This window comes from Homo sapiens, chromosome 5 (genome assembly GCF_000001405.40).
Source record: "Homo sapiens chromosome 5, GRCh38.p14 Primary Assembly".
Lineage (NCBI taxonomy): Eukaryota > Metazoa > Chordata > Mammalia > Primates > Hominidae > Homo > Homo sapiens.
This window is the reverse complement of record NC_000005.10, coordinates 74,864,925-74,885,272: the sequence shown is the minus strand read 5'-3', so window position 1 is coordinate 74,885,272 and position 20,348 is coordinate 74,864,925. Positions and strand designations below refer to the sequence as shown.

At 42.7% G+C, this 20,348-nt stretch overlaps 1 protein-coding gene, 1 long non-coding RNA gene and 1 other non-coding gene across 16 annotated transcripts in view, besides 3 other annotated features; 2 read left to right on the top strand and 1 right to left on the bottom strand.

Moving 5' to 3' along the window:
- Positions 1,707-2,579: an enhancer, noted in NCBI's record as "NANOG-H3K27ac hESC enhancer chr5:74178519-74179391 (GRCh37/hg19 assembly coordinates)". NCBI's record gives its function as "activates a minimal SCP1, AML or CMV promoter by ChIP-STARR-seq in primed H9 embryonic stem cells {active_cell/tissue: H9 hESC(primed)}" and the evidence as "EXISTENCE:reporter gene assay evidence [ECO:0000049][PMID:30033119]".
- LOC124900209 (small nucleolar RNA SNORA40) lies at positions 2,490-2,617 on the top strand. Its single transcript, XR_007059158.1, has one exon. It is a non-coding gene; the product is annotated as a small nucleolar RNA SNORA40 (small nucleolar RNA).
- Positions 17,998-19,380, bottom strand: FAM169A-AS1 (FAM169A antisense RNA 1). The gene has a single exon (NR_134288.1). It is a non-coding gene; the product is annotated as an FAM169A antisense RNA 1 (long non-coding RNA).
- FAM169A (family with sequence similarity 169 member A) overlaps positions 18,307-20,348 on the top strand; it is an 89,393-nt gene continuing 87,351 nt past the window's right edge. For 6 of the 14 annotated variants that reach the window (NR_046462.1, NR_164753.1, NR_164754.1 and 3 more), the window contains exon 1: positions 18,886-19,108. Coding sequence is in view for 1 of the 14 variants with exons in the window: in XM_047417083.1 (XP_047273039.1) it covers positions 18,340-18,453 (114 nt within the window). In the remaining 13 variants the exon portion in view is untranslated. Of the gene's footprint in view, positions 18,602-18,885; positions 19,944-20,348 lie in introns of those variants that run through there. The other 8 variants (XM_047417083.1, NM_015566.3, XM_047417085.1 and 5 more) reach the window with 8 other exon arrangements.
- Positions 18,950-19,199: a silencer, noted in NCBI's record as "silent region_16097". NCBI's record gives its function as "represses an Ori minimal core promoter by ATAC-STARR-seq in GM12878 lymphoblastoid cells {active_cell/tissue: GM12878}" and the evidence as "EXISTENCE:reporter gene assay evidence [ECO:0000049][PMID:35858748]".
- Positions 19,270-19,439: a silencer, noted in NCBI's record as "silent region_16096". NCBI's record gives its function as "represses an Ori minimal core promoter by ATAC-STARR-seq in GM12878 lymphoblastoid cells {active_cell/tissue: GM12878}" and the evidence as "EXISTENCE:reporter gene assay evidence [ECO:0000049][PMID:35858748]".

The following is a 20,348-nucleotide window of genomic DNA, read 5'->3' as shown; positions in this document are numbered from 1 at the left end:
ACACCCACATCAGGAACACTATTCTTACTTTACTTTTTCACCTTTTTTTTTTTTAACAAATTACAAGTTTTGTCAGTTTGCTTTTACAGTTTACTACAAATGTCCTTTAATAATTCTTCAACTTTATTGTTTAATTTAAAAAAATATATACTATGGGCCAGGCGCGGTGGCTCATGCCTGTAATCCCAGCACTTTGGGAGGCCAAGATGGGCAGATCACCTGAGGCCGGGAGTTTGAGACCAGCCTGACCAACATGCAGAAACCCCATCTCTACTAAAAATACAAAATTAACCGGGCGTGGTGGCACATGCCTGTACCAGCTACTTGGGAGGCTGAGGCAGGAGAATCGCATGAAGCCGGGAGGCGGAGGCTGCAATGAGCCGAGATCACGCCATTGCACTCCAGCCTGGGCAACAACAGCGAAACTCCGTCTCAAAAAACAAAACAAAACAAAACAAAAACAAAATATATATATATATACACACACACACTATACAGGCTCATGCCTGTAATCTCAGCACTTTGGGAGGCCGAGGGGGGGTGGATCACTTGAGGTCAGGAGTTCGAGACCAGCCTGGCCAACATGGTGAACCCCCATCTCTACTAAAAATACAAAAATTAGCTGGGCGTGGTAATGTGTGCCTGTAATCCCAGCAACTGAGGAGGCTGAGGCAGGAGAATTGCTTGAACCAGGGAGGTGGAGGTTGCAGTGAGCCGAGATTATGCCACTTCACTCCAGCCTGGGCGACAGAGTGAAACTCCGTCTCAAAAAATAAAAATTACCTGCACTCCAACCTGGGTGACAGAGTGAGACTTTGCCTAAAAAACAAAAACAAACTATTCATATAAAAACACATATTGATATATATGTATTGAATATACATGAGCACACACACACACACGTGTGTCCTTATATCATTCTGTATTTTGCTTTTCTTTCTTTCTTAAACTTGTTCTTGAATCTTTCAAATGTACGGAAGAATATATATAAGAAATCAACAGTCAATAAATAGGAACATAAACTCAAATGGTCAATAAACATATGAAAATATTCTCAATTTTATTGTAATTATGAAAATGCACATTCAAACCACACTAAGAAGATACTGTACATCTATCCGATTCAAAAGTTTAAAAGTCTGACAAAGGGAGGATGTAAAGCAAAGGGAATGTTAACATAGTGCTGATTTGAGTAAAAGTTAGGACAACCACTTTGGAGAAGAAGTAGGCAATATCTAATGTATTAGTCAGTCATTGCCATAATGCTATGTTAAAAAAAAAAAAAAAAAAAAGCCCAAATAAGCAAAAATTTGGCTGGGCATGGTGGCTCATGCCTGTAATCCCAGCACTTTGGGAGGCCGAGGTGGGCAGATCACTTGAGGTCAGGAGTTTGAGACCTACCTGGCCAACATGGTAAAACCCTATTTCTACTAAAAATACAATACCTTCCCCAGCTGTCTCCACCACACTGTCAATCTCACTCACTCTTTCCTAGCTGTTTCTAATCCTTCTTTAACAAACAATTGCTGGCTTTGCATTTCTCTTTCCTCCAAAATCACCAAGGCCTCGACTTACTCACTGCTAAAAAAGAAAAAAAAAAAAGGGATTCTGTATATTTTTAAATGAAGAGTGTTGTTTTCACCTAAATCAGTCTGGCCTTGTGTATGACAACATAAAAAAACTCTGTCAAGGATAGAGCCCAAAAACTCACCAACAAAGCAAGTAATTACGCTGAACCCCCTTGGGCACTCTCTAATTGGATGTCCTATGTCCTCCCAATTCTTAGTCCTTTAATACCTGTTTTTCTCTTTCTCTTAATTCAGACCTTGTGTCTTCTGTTTAGTTTCTCAATTCATACAAAACCACATCCAGGCCATCACTAATCATTCTATTCGACAAATGCTCCTTTTAACAACCCCACAATATCGCCCCTTGCCACAAAATCTTCCTTCAGCTTAATCTCTCCCACTCTAGGTTCCCACGCCGCCCCTAATCCCGCTAGAAGCAGCCTTGAGAAACATCACCCATTATCTCTCCATACCACCCCCCAAAAATTTTCGCCACCCCAACACTTTTGTTTTATTTTTCTTATTAATATAAGAAGACAGGAATGTCAGGCCTCTGAGCCCAAGCTAAACCATCATATCCCTTGTGACCTGCACGTATATCCAGATGGCTGAAGTAACTGAAGAATCACAAAAGAAGTGAAAATGGCCGGTTCCTGCCTTAACTGATGACATTACCTTGTGAAATTCCTTCTCCTGGCTCAGATGCTCCCCCACTGAGCACCTTGTGACCCCCCGCCCCAGCCCGCCAGAGAACAACCCTTTGACTGTAATTTTCCACTACCTACCCAAATCCTGTAAAACGGCCCCACCCCTATCTCCCTTCGCTGACTCTCTTTTCAGACTCAGCCCGCCTGCACCCAGGTGAAATAAACAGCCTTGTTGCTCACACAAAGCCTGTTTGGTGGTCTCTTTACACGGACGTGCGTGACATGTATGTTTTTGTTTAACTTGTATACAAAGGCTTATGGATAGGTGCAAAAATAAATTCTCTTTTGCAACCCAGAACTCATTGTTCAGTGTGAGTTTTGATACATATAAGAAGGGATATTATGATACCTGAGACAGTTAACTGATGGGAGTATTGATAGCCATAAAGGTTGGTTCCAGGCCAGGCACAGTGGCTCAAGCTTGCAATCCCACACCAAGGTGGGAGTATTGCTTAAAGCCAGCAGTTCAAGGCCAGCCTGGGCAAGAAAGTAACAAATACCTCATCTCCACAAAAATTTAAAAATTAGCTGAATACTGGGGCATGTGTCTGTGGTTGCAGCTACTCAGGAAGGGGAGGCTGAGGCAAGAGGATTGAGCACAGGAGTTGGAGGCTGCACTGAGCTTTGATGGCACCACTGTACTCCAGCCTGGGTAACAGGCTTTTTTTTTATTAAGACAGACCCTGTCTTTTTTTTTTTTTGAGACGGAGTCTCGCTCTGTCACCCAGGCTGAGTGCAGTGGTGCAATCTCGGCTCACTGCAAGCTCTACCTCCTGGGTTCACGCCATTCTCCTGCCTCAGCCTCCCGAGTAACTGGGACTACAGGCGCCCGCCACCACGCCTGGCTAATTTTTTGTATTTTTTAGTAGAGACGGGGTTTCACTGTGTTAGCCAGGATGGTCTCGATCTCCTGACCTCGTGATCCGCCCTCCTTAGCCTCCCAAAGTGCTGGGATTACAGGCATGAGCCACCGCGCCCGGCCCAGACCCTGTCTCTTAATAAAAAAAATTGATTCTAGGACTGTAGAAGAGGTAGTTAAACAGCATGGGATATGAGGGAAATCCTCAGCAGTATTAATTTTGCATTCCAATTTCATATTGACTTGATACATACGATGGCTTTTTGTTTTAAAGGCTTTATCTTGATGATGTCTGGAGTTAAAGGTATTGGCATATTCCACACATCTGTACCATTCTTAAGTGTGATCACTTAGGAATAAATATGATTTGAACTTATTCATGTTAATAGAAGGGTGCCAAATTGAGAACCAGGCAGATCCACCACCTACAGTAAAAAGGACCTTAAAGTAAATTGGTTGAAGAAATTAGATCCCAAAGATTCTTGGTGAATTTTGAAGTCTTCATCAGTATATCCATATTAAAAGGAGATAACAGAAGCCAAAATAAAAGAATTATGGGCTGACAGGACAACTGGATTAAAATAAGCATCAGTTTTATTAAAAAGGGCTAACTTGAAGATAAATCTTTTGACTCCAGCTCTTTAGAGGATCTAAAGTGAAGTTGATGGACAGTGGAAGAAATCACAACATGGAATTCCTTGAATAAAAATTATTAACTTTAAATAAAAAAAAAGAAAAAAGTGAAAAGAGACTCTACAAAGCAGAAAAAACATTTGCAATAGTACATTCTACAAAGGCCTTGTATCTATAACGTATGAAAAACTGCTACAAATCAATAAGATAGAGACAAAAATGAAAATAAAAAACGGACAAAGACATGAAGAGGCACTTTACAAAAGAGGATATTCAAGTGGTCAATAAGCATATAAAAAGTTATTCATCAAAGAAATAAGTTGAAATTAAAAAGATGGAAAATGATACCATGCACACAGCAAAAGAGAACTACAGTAGCTATAGTAGGATCAAAGTAGACATTAATGCAAAAAAATTACTAGATATAGGGCATTTTTTATGATAGAAGGGTCAATCCATCAGGAAGATATAACAATTATACACACATAATTACCTAAAACTGAGCCCCAAAATACATGAAGCAAAACCTGACGGAACTGAAAGTAGAAATGGACAATTCAATGATAGTCAAACTTAAATACCACACTTTCAATAATGAGTAAAACAACTAGACAGAAAATTAGTGAGGAAATAGATGACTTGAACAATACTGTTTATCAACCAGGCCTGACAGACATATATAGGACACTCCATTGCAAAGCAGCCCAATACACATTGCTCTCAAGGGCGCATGGAACACTCTCCAGGATAGACCATATTTTAGGCCATAAAACAAGTCTCAATGAATTTTAAAAGATGAAAATTATATAAGGTATGTCTTTGTCAATGGAATGAAATTAGAAATAATAAGAAAATTTGAAAAATTAACAAATTTGTAAAAATTAAACAACATGCTCCTAAGTAAACAGTGGATCAAAGAAGAAATCCCAACAGCAATTCAAAAATACTTTGAAGTGAATTAAAACAAGCACACAACATACCAAAACTTGGAGGATGCAGCAAAACTAGTGCTCAGAGGGAAATGTATACCGGTAAACATCTTCATTGGAAAAGAAGAAAGATCTCAAATCAGTAACCTAACCTTTTACCTTAAGAAACTAGAAAAAGAAGAGCAAACTAAATCCAAAGCATGAAGAAGGAAGTAAATAAAAAATGGAAATAAGGCCGGGCTCGGTGGCTCAAGCCTGTAATCCCCAGCACTTTGGGAGGCCGAGGCGGGCGGAACACAAGGTCAGGAGATCGAGACCATCCTGGCTAACACGGTGAAACCCCGTCTCTACTAAAAATACAAAAAATTAGCCGGGTGTGGTGGCGGGCGCCTGTAGTCCCAGCTGCTCGGGAGGCTGAGGCAGGAGAATGGTGTGAACCTGGGAGGTGGAGCTTGCAGTGAGCTGAGATTGCACCACTGCACTCCAGCCTGGGTGACAGAGCAAGACTCCGTCTCGAAAAAAAAAAAAAAAAAAAAGAATGGAAATAAATAGATAATAGAAAAACAATAGAGAAGGTCAACTAAGCCAAAAATTCGTTCTTTGAAAAGATCAACAAAATATGACAAGTCTTTAGATAGAGAAGACTCAAATTTCTCAAATCAGGAGTGGAAGAGGAGACATTACTGTTGATCTTACAGAAATAACAAGGATATAAGAGAATACTATGATTAGTATGCCAACAAATTAGATAACTGAGATGAAATAGACAAATTCCTAAAAATACACAAACTGTAAAAATGGGCTCAAGAAAATCTGAGTAGAACTATAACTAGTAAAAAGAATTAGTAATCCAAAACTACCCACAAAAGAAGCCCAAGCACAGATGGCTTTACTGCTGGATTCTGCCAAACCTTTAAAGAGGAATTAACACTAGTCCTTCTTAAATGCTGTCAAAAAATAGAACAGGGGAGACTTCCTAAATTATTCTATGAGGTCAATATTGCTCTGATAACAAAGCCAAAGATATCACAAGGAAAGAAAACTACAGACCAGTATCCCTTATGAACACGGGTGCAAAATTCCTCAATACTGGAAAATCAAAGCCAGCATCATATAAAAAGGATGACATGCCATGACCAATCAATTTATCCCACAAATGCAAGGTTTGTTCAACATATGAAAGTGAATCAGGCTGGGCATGGTGGCTCACACTTGTAATCCCAGCACTTTGGGAGGCCGAGGAGGGTGGATCACCTCAGGTCAGGAGTTCGAGACCAGCCTGGCAAACATGGTGAAACCCCGCCTCTACTAAAAATACAAAAATTAGCCAGGCATGGTGCCTCACGCCTGTAGCCCCAGCTACTAGGTAGTCTGAGGCATGAGAATAGCTTGAACCCGGGAGGCAGAGATCGTGCCACTGCACCCCAGCCTGGGCAACAGAGTGAGACTTGGTCTCAAAAAATAAATAAATAAATAAATAAATAAAGTTAATCAATGGAAGGCACCAAATTAACAGAGTAAAAGAAAATCACAAGATAATCTTAATTGACACAGAAAAAAAATTTGACAAAAACCAGTAAAGGGCATCTGTGAAAAACCCACATCCAACGTCATACTTAATGATTAAAGACTGAAAGCTTTTCCCCTAAGATCAGGAACAAAACAAGGATGTTTTCTCTCATCATTTCTATTCAACATTGTACTGGATGTTCTAGCCAGGGCAATTAGGCAAGCAAAAGAAATAAAAGCAATCAAGATTGGAAAGGAGAAAGTAAATTTCTATTTGAGGTGTCATGATCTTGTACATAGAAAACTCAAAAGAATCTGCAAACGAACTATGAGAGTTGATGAACAATTTAATCAACATTTTCTCTCTACACCATAGACATACTACGTTTTGTTGTCTCAGTTTCTCACCAGCTATAAAGAGTTTTGATAAAGATAGACCTGTATTGCTTATTTTAAAATTCTTTGGTCCCATTCCTGATTTCCTGGATTGGAATCTCACTACCAATAATGATATGCAATATATAAAAATGTTAACACCAAAAGTTGGAAATGGATTAGAAAGAGGCAAGACTGGGTAGTGGAATTATTGGATGAGTGGTTTATATTTTGTTGATTAAATTTTTCTCATTTTACATGCTGAACTTATAGTCCTTTTACACTAAGAAAAATCTTAATAGGTTTTTGGTTAAGAAACTTATGACACATAACATATAATATGCAGTGAATACATTTTTGTTTTGGTTTGTTTTGTTTGTTTTTTGAGACAGGGTCTTACTCTGTCACCCAGGCTAGAAGTGCAGTGGCACGATCACAGCCCACTGCAGCCTTGACCTCCCGGGCTCAAGCTAACCTCCCACCTCGGCCTCCTGACCAGCTGGGACCACAGGCATGCACCACCATGCCTGGCTAATTTTTTTTATTTTTTGTAGAGACAGGGTCTCCCTGTGTTGCCCAGGCAGTGAGAGAGAAGACCCAGGTCTCTGCATTTTTTATACTGAAGCTTGAGAACCAGGGCAAACTGGAGAGCCCAAGGAAGCCTGCCCCACACTGAAGGCCTAGTTCCACTCCATCCCCACCCCAGCACTAATCCATTTCGCTGTAGCATTTTCAGATCAAGGCCAGGATGAAAAATTGAGAGACTTTGTGTATTGTGTCAGCCTTGATATGGGGGAAGAAAAAGAGAGTCCCTTCTCTAAGCCTTGGCAGAACATGCCTTTCCCAGTGGGTTGTGTCTTTGTTTGAGCTGAAAGTTCATCTTTGTTCCTGTCTCTCATTTTGGCTCCTTTCCAATATAAAAGAATTCAAATGTTTTGCCTGATCTTTTTTTAAGTCATCCTTGTCAAGTTGGAGTATTCAGTTTCACAGGTTTTGTTTGTGTGATTGATTTTTGTTTTTTGAAGTTGGAATAGTCTTTGCTTTATATATGTATTTTTTATTACAACATCGATTGCTTCCATATGCAAATTTTTACTTTGAAAGCATTTTTAGTTCCAGCATTATCTACAGTACAGAATTTAGCTGTTAATCAAATTCCTCAATTGGGCAACTAAACTGACATAAAGAAAGCCAAGCAGTAACGTCGTTGCTTTCTGCTTTGCAATATTTTTCTAAATTAGTAAATTAAACTGGTGGTAGAGGGGTGGGGGAATGGGAGGGGCAGGAGGATGAATGGAGGTAGGGAGGTGGGATGATAATGGCTCTCTACCTTTAGCAAACACTTACAGGTATAAATACTACATATGTTTTGACTAACTGAGTGTATAACAAGTCCTCAAAGTATAGACTATTCCACCAAAAACCAAAATAATGTACTGAAATTAATTTTCAATTATAATGAATTATGTCTTGTTATAAGGCCCTATAAAAGATGATCCCAAATTATCTTGAATCTGCCTGCCAGTGTCAAACCTAATGCAGTTAGGGTCACATTAGCATAGAAGGACACTTTGTTCTGATTAGAAAAGGTACTTCCTCTGAGGGGAACATCACACACTGGGGCCTGTTGTGGGGTGGGGAGAGGGGGGAGGGATAGCATTAGGAGATATACCTAATGTGAATGACAAGTTAATGGGTGCAGCACACCAACATGGCACATGTATATATATGTAACAAACCTGCACATTGTGCACACGTACCCTAGAACTTAAAGTATAATAATAAAAAAAATATATATATATATATATATATATATAAAAAAAGAAAAGGTACTTCCAATGGGCAGGCAGATTAGAAAATGGCACCTCTTCCTCCGGGTGATGAAGCCTAGAGTTAGGGCACTTGGCTTGGCATGCAGAACCTGGGCAGGTTTTCAACCTTTTCTTGTGCCCTCTCTGGTGTGTGCGTGACCTTGTGTGAGGCCCTGCTGTGTGTGGAGGCCTCAGAACAAGGACAATATGTCATGTGTTCCCAGGATGTCCCTTCATCCGTGAACTGATTCTGTAGGGGGCACTGGGCAAACATTAAAGTCCAGGGACTCATTTATTCCATGATTAACAGGGCAGAGGCCTTTACCCAGCTGGGCAGGAAAAGGACCTGCTCCGTCTGTCTTGGATCTGTCCCCACCCTTTGATCACGGATACCTTTGGTCTTGAGAACTGCATATTTGGCACAAACATCTCCATCTAAACCCCTGCTCTAAGAGACTTGATCAAAGGCTGACATTGCTTTAGCATCCTAAGGCCACGTGCCTGGGATGACCTGGCCCACCTTGAGTTCCAGTCTAGCAAAGCTCAAGGCTGCCAAAAGAATTTACCATTTGTTCCAGCAACACCCGGTCATGGGCCCTTCACATCCCTTTCTCAGAGCATTTATTTGAAAAAACTCCCTTTGTCCCTTTGAGATGGATGTGTATCTTCTACAGCTCAGGAGTGTCTTTGTCAAGGCCCTGAAAACCCATTCCTTTGATGTTATGAAGAAGGATAAGGCCTCTGTCTCTCAGACTCTGAGGGAGGGTAGAAGCCTAACTTGGATAAATGCCAGTTGGCAGAATCAGATGGCCTAATTACATGGATATTGACCCTACCTCACTTCCCCACTTTTTGTAATGTTTCACTTCTGTGACGCTACAGGGGCCAGGCCCGCTCCTCTTCCCTACTCCCCCATTTTCCAAGACACCTCTGTGCAACTCACAGTTGAACTTAGCTGTTTCCCCTACCACAGTTAATTACTGAATAAAATCTGTCTTTGCTGTCTTCAACTAGTATCCAGCTTTATCTTTTTTTTTTTTTTTTTGAGATAGAGTTTTGCTCTTGTTGCCCAGGCTGGAATGCAATGGTGCGATCTCAGCTTACTGCAACCTCTGCCTCCCAGGTTCAAGTGATTCTCCTGCCTCAGCCTCCTGAGTAGCTGGGATTATAGGCGTGAGCCACCACGCCCAGCTAACTTTTTGTATTTTTAGTAGAGACGGGGTTTCACCATGTTGGCTAGGCTGGTCTCGAATTCCTGACCTCAGTGATCCACCCACCTAGGCCGGCCAAAGTTCTGGGATTACAGGCGTGAGCCACCACACCCGGCCCCAGCTTTATCTTTGACAGTTCTTCTACAAAGTCCTTATCCTGCATCTTTCTATAAAGTAATATAACCTGCTATAACTTAATGTTACAGCACACATATTGTACCATGTTGGTACCTAGTTTCTCCAAGTATAATATTTGATCACTGGGCTGGGCATGGTGGCTCACACCTGTAATTCCAGCACTTTGGGAGGCCAAGGTAGGAGGATCCCTTGAGCCTAGAAGTTTGAGACTAGCCTGGGCAGCACAGGGAGACCCTGTCTCTACAAAAAATAAAAAAAAATTAGCCGGGCATGGTGGCGCATGCCTGTGGTCCCAGCTGCTCAGGAGGCTGAGGTGGGAGGTTAGCTTGAGCCCAGGAGGTCAAGGCTGCAGTGGGCTGTGATTGTGCCACTGCACTCTAGCCTGGGTGACAGAGTAAGACCCTGTCTCAAAAAAACAAAACAAAACAAAACAAAAATTTAATCACTGCATATTGTGTGTTATGTGTTATAAGTTTCTTAACCAAAAACCTATTAAGATTTTTCTTAGTGTAAAAGGACTATATGTTCAGCATGGAAAATGAGAAAAATATAATCAACAAAATACAAACCACCCATCCAATAATTCCACTACCCAGTCTTGCCTGTTTCCAATCCATTTCCAACTTTTGGTGTTAACATTTTTATATATTGCATATCATTATGGTCTAAATATTCTGTGAATATATCTGTATGATTAAGCATAATTTTAAAAGCAAAAGTGGGATCATAATTTTTAAACAGATGCTTTTTCTACTTAACATTTTCCCATGTCATTAAATATTCTTCAGAAATGCGATTTAAAGATTACACAACATTCCATTGTATGGATGTACCAACATTTATTTAACAACTATCTTACTGTTGGATTCCCCCTTCCTTTCCCCACTACCAATATTTTCCCATTACAGACAGTATTGAAATAATCTTGTAGGCAAGTCTTTGGGCTTATCCTTAGTTATTTCTTTGGATGAATTCTGAAGGGAGCATTTAACTCCACTGCCGACTCACCTCTGTCTCTTGGCTTCTGTGCTATCACACTCTCCCTTGTCTCTCTGACCATGCTGTTTCTCCTGCAGGATCTTCTGTGGTCCCTATAAGATTTTGGCTGGACCTATGCTTTTCCCCGCCATTCTCTCTGAGCAAGCTCACTCATTCCAAGGCTTCAATTACCATGCCTATGCTGATATCTCCTGATCAATATACCTTAAGTCTACATATTTCCCCTGAAGTCCTGAAGATCTCACTATTTTAGATGTCCCCACTTGGATGTCTTACAAGCACATAAAAACTCAACATAGACAAAATGGAACTCATAATTTTACTCCCCAAATCCTTATCTGCAGTGATTGCTATTTGAGTAAATAACACCATTATTTATCCAGTGGCTCAAGTCAGGAACCTGATGGTCTTGCTTGCCTTCTCTATTATATTGCTTGTTTTGCCAGACCCTGTTGATTCTACTTTCCACCTTTGAGCTCCAGAATCTATTTACTTCTCTTCATCCTCACTGTCACTTCTAGATCAGACTGTCATCTCTTTACTAATGCAAATATGGTCCTGTCACTCTGAAATTTAAACTCCTTAAATGGTGATATGGTTTGGCTGTGTCCCCACCCAAATCTCATCTTGAATTGTAACTCCCACAATTCCCACATGTTGTGGGAGAAACCAGGTGAGAAGTGATCAAATTAGTGATTAACAGCACAGGTCTTTCCTGTGCTGTTCTCGTGATAGTGAATGCGTCTCACAAGATCTGATGGTTTTAAAGAGGGGAGTTTCTCTGCACAAGCTCTCTCTTTGCCTGCTGCCATCCATGTAAGACATGACATGCTCCTCCTTGCCTTCCACCATGACTGTGAGGCCCTCCCTAGCCACGTGGAACTGTAAGTCCATTAAACCTCTTTCTTTTGTAAAATGCCCAGTCTTGGGTATGTCTTTATCAGCAGTGTGAAAACAAACTAATACAAATGGATTTCCATTACCTTTGGGCCTGGGTCCATACTCCTTACCATGGTTGAACAGGATTTTTTTAAGAATAACAGGTCCTGCCTATTTCTGCAGCTTCATTTCTTGGTACCCAACACTCTGCTACAAGCCATGGTTTCATAGGTCAACTTCTTGTTGGCTCTGCCTGTTCCACTGTTACATGATCACATCACAGGGTATATCTAGTATGGTGCCTGGCATAACAGACATTTCAAAGGACGTGTTGAATTAATAAATGCATAAATATTGGGTGAGAGAGTGTTAATATAAATATTTTCTAGAAGCTAGATATATACTGATTGAAAAACAGTAAAGTCTAGAGTCTAGTCTCCAAAATCTAGAGTATTTCAGAAGAAGAGTCCAATTCCTGTTCCATAGCCTTGGATTAATTTCTTCACTTCTCTAAGCTTCAGTTTCCTCATGTGTTAAATGAGGATCATAGTATCTACATCAAGCAGATATTGTGGGCATTAAATAAGATAACTTAAGTATGATATTTAGTACAATGTCTAGCATATAAACGTTTGATAAATGAAATCCAGCAACAATGACAATGATGATCATGATACATTGCATCCAGACAGGTGTTCCACTTTCTGCCAAACTGTTACAGTGTATAGATGTTCCAATATGCTTTGCAAGTTGCTATTAGTAATTTTATAAAATGCCCCCTGTTGTCTTTAATAATATAGGTGAAAATTTTGTATTTCTTTGATGAATAGCAATATACCTATTATTAAATATCCTTTTTTTTTTTTTTTTTGAGAGAGTCTTACTCTGTTGACCAGGCTGGAGTGCAGTGGTGTGATCTTGGCTCACTGCAACCTCTGCCTACCAGGCACAAGTGATTCTCCTGCCTCAGCCTCCTGAGTATCTGGGATTACAGGTGCCCACCACCACACCCAGCTAATTTTTGTATGAGATGGGGTTTCACCCTGTTGGCCAGCATGGTGTCAAACTCCTGACCTCAAGTGATCTGCCTGCCTTGGCCTCCCAAAGTGCTGGGATTACAGGTGTAAGCCACCACACCAAGCCTAGACATTTTTGTATTTGTACATTTTGGCTTTTTTTTTTTTTAAAAAAAATGTTTCAGTGACATCATTCAGTGACATGCACATAACTTTTTTTTCTTAAGTATTTCTTTGGATAAGTTTCCAGGAGTGGTATTATGGGAAATATATCCATATTTTCATTACTTTTGATATATATGCCAGGTTGCTGCCTATAAAACACGGACCAAATATTTTAATTTTAGAATCCCTCTCTACGGGCCGGGCGCAGTGGCTCACACCTGTAATCCCAGCATTTTGGGAGGCCGAGGCGGGCGGATCACCTAAGGTCAGGAGTTCGAGACCAGACTGACCAACATGGAGAAACCCCGTCTCTACTAAAAATACAAAATTAGCCGGGCATGGTGGTACATGCCTGTAATCTCAGCTACTTGAGAGGCTGAGGCACGAGAATCGCTTGAACCCGAGAGGTAGAGGTTGCGGTGAGCAGAGATAGTGCCATTGCATTCCAGCCTGGGCAACAAGAGTGAAACGCTGTCTCAAAAAAAAAAAAAAAAAAAGAATCCCTCTCTACATCCTGATTCTTCTACTTGTTCTAACTAAAAATGCAAAATTTAATTATACTTTTCTGTGTATTTGTTTTTCTTTTTCAAATTTTATTTTAGATTCAGAGGGTATATGTGCAGGTTCATTACATGGGTAAATTGCATGATACTGAAGTATGGGGTACAAATGATTCTGTCACTCAGGTACTGAGTATTGTACCCAATAGTTAGTTTTTCAACCCTTGCTCCCTCTCTCTCTCCCCCCACAAGTCCCCAGTTTCTATTATTGCCATTTTTATGTCCATGAGTATCTAATGGTTAGCTTCCACTTGTAAGTGAGAATATGTGGTATTTTGTTTTCTTTTTTTCTTTTTTTTTGAGACTGAGTCTTGCTCTGTCGCCCAGGCTGGAGTGCAGTGGTGCAGTCTTGGCTCACTGCAACCTCCGCCTCCCAGGTTCAAGCAATTCTCCTCCCTCAGCCTCCCAAGGAGCTGGGATTACAGGTGCCTGCCACCACGCCCAGTTAATTTTTGTATTTTTAGTAGAGACAGGGTTTCAACATATTGGCCAGGCTGGTCTCGAACTCCTGACCTCGAATGATCCGCCTGCCTCAGCCTCTCAAAGTACTGGGATTACAGGCATGAGCCACCATGGCCGGCCAAAGGATGGTAAATATATATGGTATAGTAAACATACTCTAGAAGTATTCTTTTTTTCTAGCTATATGAAAGTGACAGTGTTTAACTTTGAGAATTAGTTAGGATTGTTGGTAAGTAACAGAGAAGACTGGAGGTGAGCAGCCTGGAATTGGTGTAGCAGCCATATAACATCACCATTGTCCCAGGTTCCCGTCTCTTGGCTCTAGCATGTTAATACATGGATTTCATTCTCATGATCAGCTCATGGTTCCAAGATGGCTGCTCTGCTCCCAGACCTAAGTCTTCCTTCCAAACAGGAAGAAGGAAGAAGTACAAATGTTTGACAAAAGATAAAGGTATATGCCGATTGAGTCCACCCTCTTTTATCAGAAAATAAAAGCTTTCTTGGAAGACACATCTAATAATCTTCTGCTTACAACTCGTTGGCCAAAATGACCATATGGCTATCCCAGCTACTAGAGGAGTCTGAGGGAGGAAAACAGTTTTAGTGGGGCACATTGCCACCATGAACAAAATTGGGTTTGTCCTAAAGAAAGAAGAGAATGGATATTAATTAAGCAACTTGCAGTACCTACCATGGATGTAAATATGTATGTGATTTTTCATTAACAATATGAAAAACTGTACATTTTATTTCTTTTAAACCTAAACTAAACTTACCAAATTCTCTGTCCTTCTACCACATATTAAAGCAAATCAAGCAGCAAGACAAATGCAACTGGGCTTCTCAAACTTATTTCTCTTTTCTTCAGGTTCTTTTCTCCCCCCAGGGCACAGTATCACTCAGGAATTTGAAATCTGCAGTTATAGTAGTGTTTGACCAATAAAACTCAGTCAAAACACTGCTTTTAATTCTGAAAGCATTCCTGTGACATGTTTTCTTACATACCAAAGGAAGAAATCAAGCATTCTAGGATAGCTGTCCTTTTTCGTCTTTTAGTGCCTGCAGGTAAGATTGTCTTTCTACATTGCCATGGCTGATATTATTAGCTAACTAGTTAGCTGACTGGCTAATAGTTTCAATCTAGAAATCCCTGGGCTACCTCAGTTATTAAAATGTTCTCCTGTGGCTCACGCTTGTAATCCCAGCACTTTGGGAGGCCAAGGCGGGTGGATCACAAGGTCAGGAGTTCGAGACCAGCCTGACCAACATGGTGAAACACCATCTCTACTAAAAATACAAAAAATTAACCGGGCATAGTGGTGCGTGCCTGCAATCCCAGCTACTCAGGAGGCTGAGGCAGGAGAATTGCTTGAACCTAAGAGGCGGAGATTGCAGTGAGCAGAGATCACACCACTGCACTCTAGCCTGGGCGTCACAGTGAGACTCAGTCTCAAAAAAAAAAAAATCCCTGTGATTTTATGTATTTAAAACATATGATGGATTCTAAATCTACCCATTTATGCCGAGACCAGCTCAGCTGGGGAGACCCTGGCCCAGGGGCGCTAGAGGAATTAAAGACACACACAGAAATACAGAGGTGTGGAGTGGTAAATCAGGGGTCTTACAGCCTTCAGAGCTGAGAGCCTCAAACAGAGATTTACCCACATATTTATTGACAGCAAGCCAGTGATAAGCATTGTTTCTATAGATTATAGATTAACTAAAAGTATTCCTTACAGGAAACAAGGGATGGGCTGAAATAAAGGGATGGGCTCTGGCTAGTTATCTGTAGCAGGGGCATGTCCAGGCACAGGTCGCTCATGCTATCGTTTGTGGTTTAAGAACGCCTTTAAGCGGTTTTCCGCCCTGGGTGGGCCAGGTGTTCCTTGCCCTCATTCTGGTAAACCCACAACCTTCCAGCGTGGGCGTCACGGCCATCACGAACATGTCACAGTGGTGCAAAGATTTTGTTTATGGCCAGTTTTGGGGCCAGTTGATGGCGAGATTTTGGGGGGGCCTGTTCCCAACATATTTATGTCTTATTGGAGTGTCAAAGATGATGATAAATCTTTCTAAGGAAATGTGTCTTTTCCACGCGCTAAATAAACAGAATGAAAACTTGTAATTATGCCCTGGAACTGGGGGACGGGACTTGGAGAGCAATTACACTTAAATGATGTAAAAATGAAAAATGTGTTTTTCAAAAACTAACAGATTATAAAATTTTGCTTAGTATATACCAGAGGAAGTTTTTACAAGTTTTCTTTCTAACTTGTAAACTTGTAACTAGTTTTAATTCTTCCTTCCTGTCTGGGAAAATACTAGATCTAAGAAATTATTTAAACTTGAAAGTATAGGACATTTAGTATGTTTTAGGGCTTCAAAAGCAAAATCTATCCATATGGTATAGGATTTTGTGCACATTTAAGGCAGTATGGAATTCTGGTTAAGGGAGTGTGCTCTTGAGCCAACATGCTAGGATTACTATCTGTGTGACCATGGGCAAATTGCTTAGTTTCTCTGTGTGCCTCAAGACTCCTCTTAGGTAAACTGGGGGTAACAGTGTATACCTGCAAGGATGGTAAGAGGATTAAGTGAATTAATTTCCATAAAGAAGTCTGTAGAGTGCCTGGCAATTTGTTAGCTGTCAAAAACATCAGTTATGATTTTAGCTATTAAGAATTCCTCTTCCCCAGTGCAACTAAAGAGCTCTTTTCTGGGTCATGTGTATTAGTAACCTCCAAAATCCAGGGTTGTGGCAAGCTTCTTTTACTTAAGATGGTTCCACTCCTCTTTAAACATAGAGGAAAAATACAATCAGAACGAACTCTTAACATGTTTCCTTTGCTAATAACAAAGTAATAATTAAAGCAAGCATTGCAAAAACAAAAACCAAAGCAATAATCCTTTTACTCTAAAAACGGTTCAGAAAAAAGCCTCAAAGCATATTTCAAAATATTGTGGTAACAATTTTCAGCATATACTAATCTGACAAAGGCTCATGTTTTTAGTTGTTGTTCTTTGCCCACTAAGATAAGCAAAATTTATCTCAGCCAAAGAGGGAAGTCAATGGTGATTTAAAAAGAAAAAACCAAAAACTCTCAAAAATAGTGTCATTTGCAAGTAGGGAAAAGAGAATCAGGCCTGGCGCAGTGGCTCACGCCTGTAATCCCAGCACTTTGGGAGGCCGAGGCGGGCGGATCGCTTGAGCTCAGAAGTTCAGGACCAGCCTGGGCAGCATGGCGAAACTCCGTCTCTACAAAAATTAGCGAGGTGCGTTGGTGTGCACCTCTGTCCCAGCTCTTCCGGAGGCTGACGCCGGAGAATCGCTTGAGCTTGGGAGGCAGAGGTTGCAGTGAGTCGAGATCGCGCCATTGCATTCCAGCCTGCCTAGGCTGTGGGAGTGAAACCCTGTCTCAAAAAAAAAAAAAAAAAAAAAAAAAAAAATTGGACCTTTTCTTTTATAGGTCTGGGTGAATGTAGTTCTGTCTCCTACCAGAATAGCCAGACATCTGGGAGCCAGGCCTCCCTGACCCAGGCACAAATACCCGCATACTTCTAAAACAATAGCTAAGAGTCAATCACACCCAGGCATTTCAAATATTATCAACAAGTTGTATTGGTTAGCTTTACACTAAGGCCTGAGGCTTCAACATCTGTAGGGCATAGTCTGGTAGCCAAAGCTTCCCCAAATGGCAATTGTTTGGGATTACCCTGGGGACTCCTACTTACACATAGCTCTAGAAATGTAAATACAAGTCATATAATTTCATTCATCACTGGCTATGGGTAGAACCCAACTACCCAAAATTCCTGCTCTATTAAATCTAATTCATTAAGTTTCATTAAAATGGTAAATGATGTGTAATAGTAAAGATTTTGGCTAATTAAATATTATACAAATGAAACAATAGATTCTTATATGGCAGAAAAGCTTTTTTTAAAAATCAGGGTCAAATATATCTATATCAACAAGCATTCTTTGAAGTATTTTTTGATCTTGCTAATTTTGCTAATCATTAGTAAATTCGTGAAAGTTGGTATTGTGATTGCTAAATATTTCCCAGGAATGAAAGAAGCAATTTTCAACTTTTCTGGATGAGCTGAACATAATACTACGGTTCTTGGATGATGAGTAAAAGAAAGTCTTGACATTAATACTTAGATACAATATTGTTTCTCAATACAGTTATTAAATATATTTAGACTACAATACGCATTACCTTAAAGACAATTTATCATGTTTTAAATGCTGGAGGGCTAATTTTCAGTAGGAGTGTGTAATTAGCAAAGGCGCCAGAGGCCATAAGACGGTAGAATAGAGCTGGGAGAGGCACGGGAGGAAAGCCGGATGGAACCCTGTTGTCTTTCTGGGTCAGGGTTATTCTGTACCGGTTAAACGGTGAAAGAGAAAAGGTCAGCGCAGGAATGTGGTATTTCCCTGACATCTCCAGATGAAAGTCCGGGCTCTAGGACTTCTGTAGACTGTGAAAGCAGCCCACGATTCTAACTTGCATGCACCTAAGTGGCAGTAGGTTTAGGATGAAAGTGGTGGGGCGGAGGCCGGCGGTCCTCGCCCGTGCCCTCTGCACCCCTGTCCCGAGGCCGGGATGGCCGCGCCCACTCTGGGTAAATTTCAGGAGGGCCTACGCGGGGCTGGAGAACTCCACCGGGCTATGCGAACAGAATCCTGCGAAGGTCGGCATTAAAGGAATACGCAAAATCAGCGTTGCAGCCCCCGCGGCTTAACCGCATCTATTTTTATATCTAAGCCAAGGTCACTCTTTAATACCAGGCCATTGCCCTGAGCTGGGCGTCGCGCTGCCGGGTGACGGCGGCCGGGGCGGAGAGAGGGGGCGCGGGTGGCGAGGCGGGGGCCGCGTGACGCCCCCGGGCTGGCCAAGCCCGCACCTGCCGGGCCGGCGCCTGAAAGCCGGGGCTGGAGGGAGGCAGGGCGGCGTCCCAGGCTCCGAGGAGGGGCCGCTCCGCGCTGGCGGGCGGGGGGATTCGCGGTGGGCGCGGGCGCGGAGCGGAAGCGAAGGCTGGAGGCGCTGCGGCGCTAGTGCGTCACGTCGTCGGAGGGCACGGTGGGCCGCGGCCGACCCGCGACGAGGAGCCGGGCGTCCGGGGCGAGCGGGAGGCAGCCGCACTCGCCCTGGCAGCCGCGAGCTGTGCGGCCTGGGACCGGCCGGAGGTCGCCAGCGAGCAGCCGCCGGCTCCATTCATTCGCGCGGCTCCGCCTCCTTTCCCGGGCTCTTCCAGCGGCTCCCGGGGCGCGTCTGAGGTGAGTGCGCTCCCTCTCCCCGGCGCGGACCGCTGGGTGAGGCCGAGACGGCCGCGCCGGGCCCCGCGCCCCCGCCAGCACCAGACCCGCGGACACCGAGCGGCGACGCGGGCCACCGGCTGTGGGCGGCCCCTGCGGGCTGGGCCTGGCGCAGACCAGTGCGGGCCGCCTGGACCCGGGGCTCGCGTCCAGCTGGCGGCGGTCTGCGGGGATCCCGTAGGGCGTGTGGCGCCCCCAGGTGCGCCGGCCTCCGCCTCGGCGCCACCATTTTGTGTGAGGGAATGCCCGTCTTCGCTCGCCTCCGCCGCGGGCCGGTTCGCAGCTGCGGCTTGCCGCCCCCTCCCCTCGCCCTCTCCCCACCTGGATGCTTGGCGTGCGAGCTGATTGCTTTGGCTTGGGGAGACGCGGACTCGGGGAGGTGTGGAACTTCAGCGTTTAGACTCGGTTCACCCGACCAGGTGGCCTCCAGAGATGCTCTGACCGCCTTCCTTTACCTGTAACTACTTTTGGAACAGATATTGTATGATTCTCCCTCCTCTGGAATGCTGGTCGTTGCAGTTTTGTCCTAATTGTGTTCTCAGCTCTCCATTATGCCATTTTTCAAGAGGCCTGTGCCTCAGGAGGTGAAGCCTTGAACCCTGGGTGGTTTATGGCTCGGGGGTCTGGATTACACTGACTCCCATGACTGTCCTTGGGGAGAAAGGATGAAGCATCTCACTGGCTTTTCAGCGTCTGGGAAGCGGCGTGGGTATCGTATCGGGTGGATTCGAAGATAACCACCTGATGCAGGTCACCTTCCCCCGCTGGGAGAGCCGTTCCTAACGTAAATTAAAACGTGTGTACGGGTTTTTGGGGGATTGGGACCGGAGGGACATATTTCTAAAAAATTTCCAGAAGGGAAAGTTTTCATTGTGATTCTCACAGAACTGTGACACAATTTGTCATTTTCAAGGTTCCTGAGAATTTGGGAATTCTTTTAATTCGTTGGCTTCTTGCGAATTACTACTTACGAACTGAGCAGATTATACCCAAGCCATTTATATTTTGTCATTGCATCACAGACAGGGATTACAATCGGGAGTGCTGGCTGTTGCATAATGCACACATTTGGGCCCTGGAGGGAATTCACCGAAGTGGATCTGGGTTTGGTGTGCCATGCGTTTTTATTTTTTACACAGGATGTACAGATGATCTTTGCAAACTACGTCCCTTATCGTGCTATAAAGTGTTTACAAGAGGA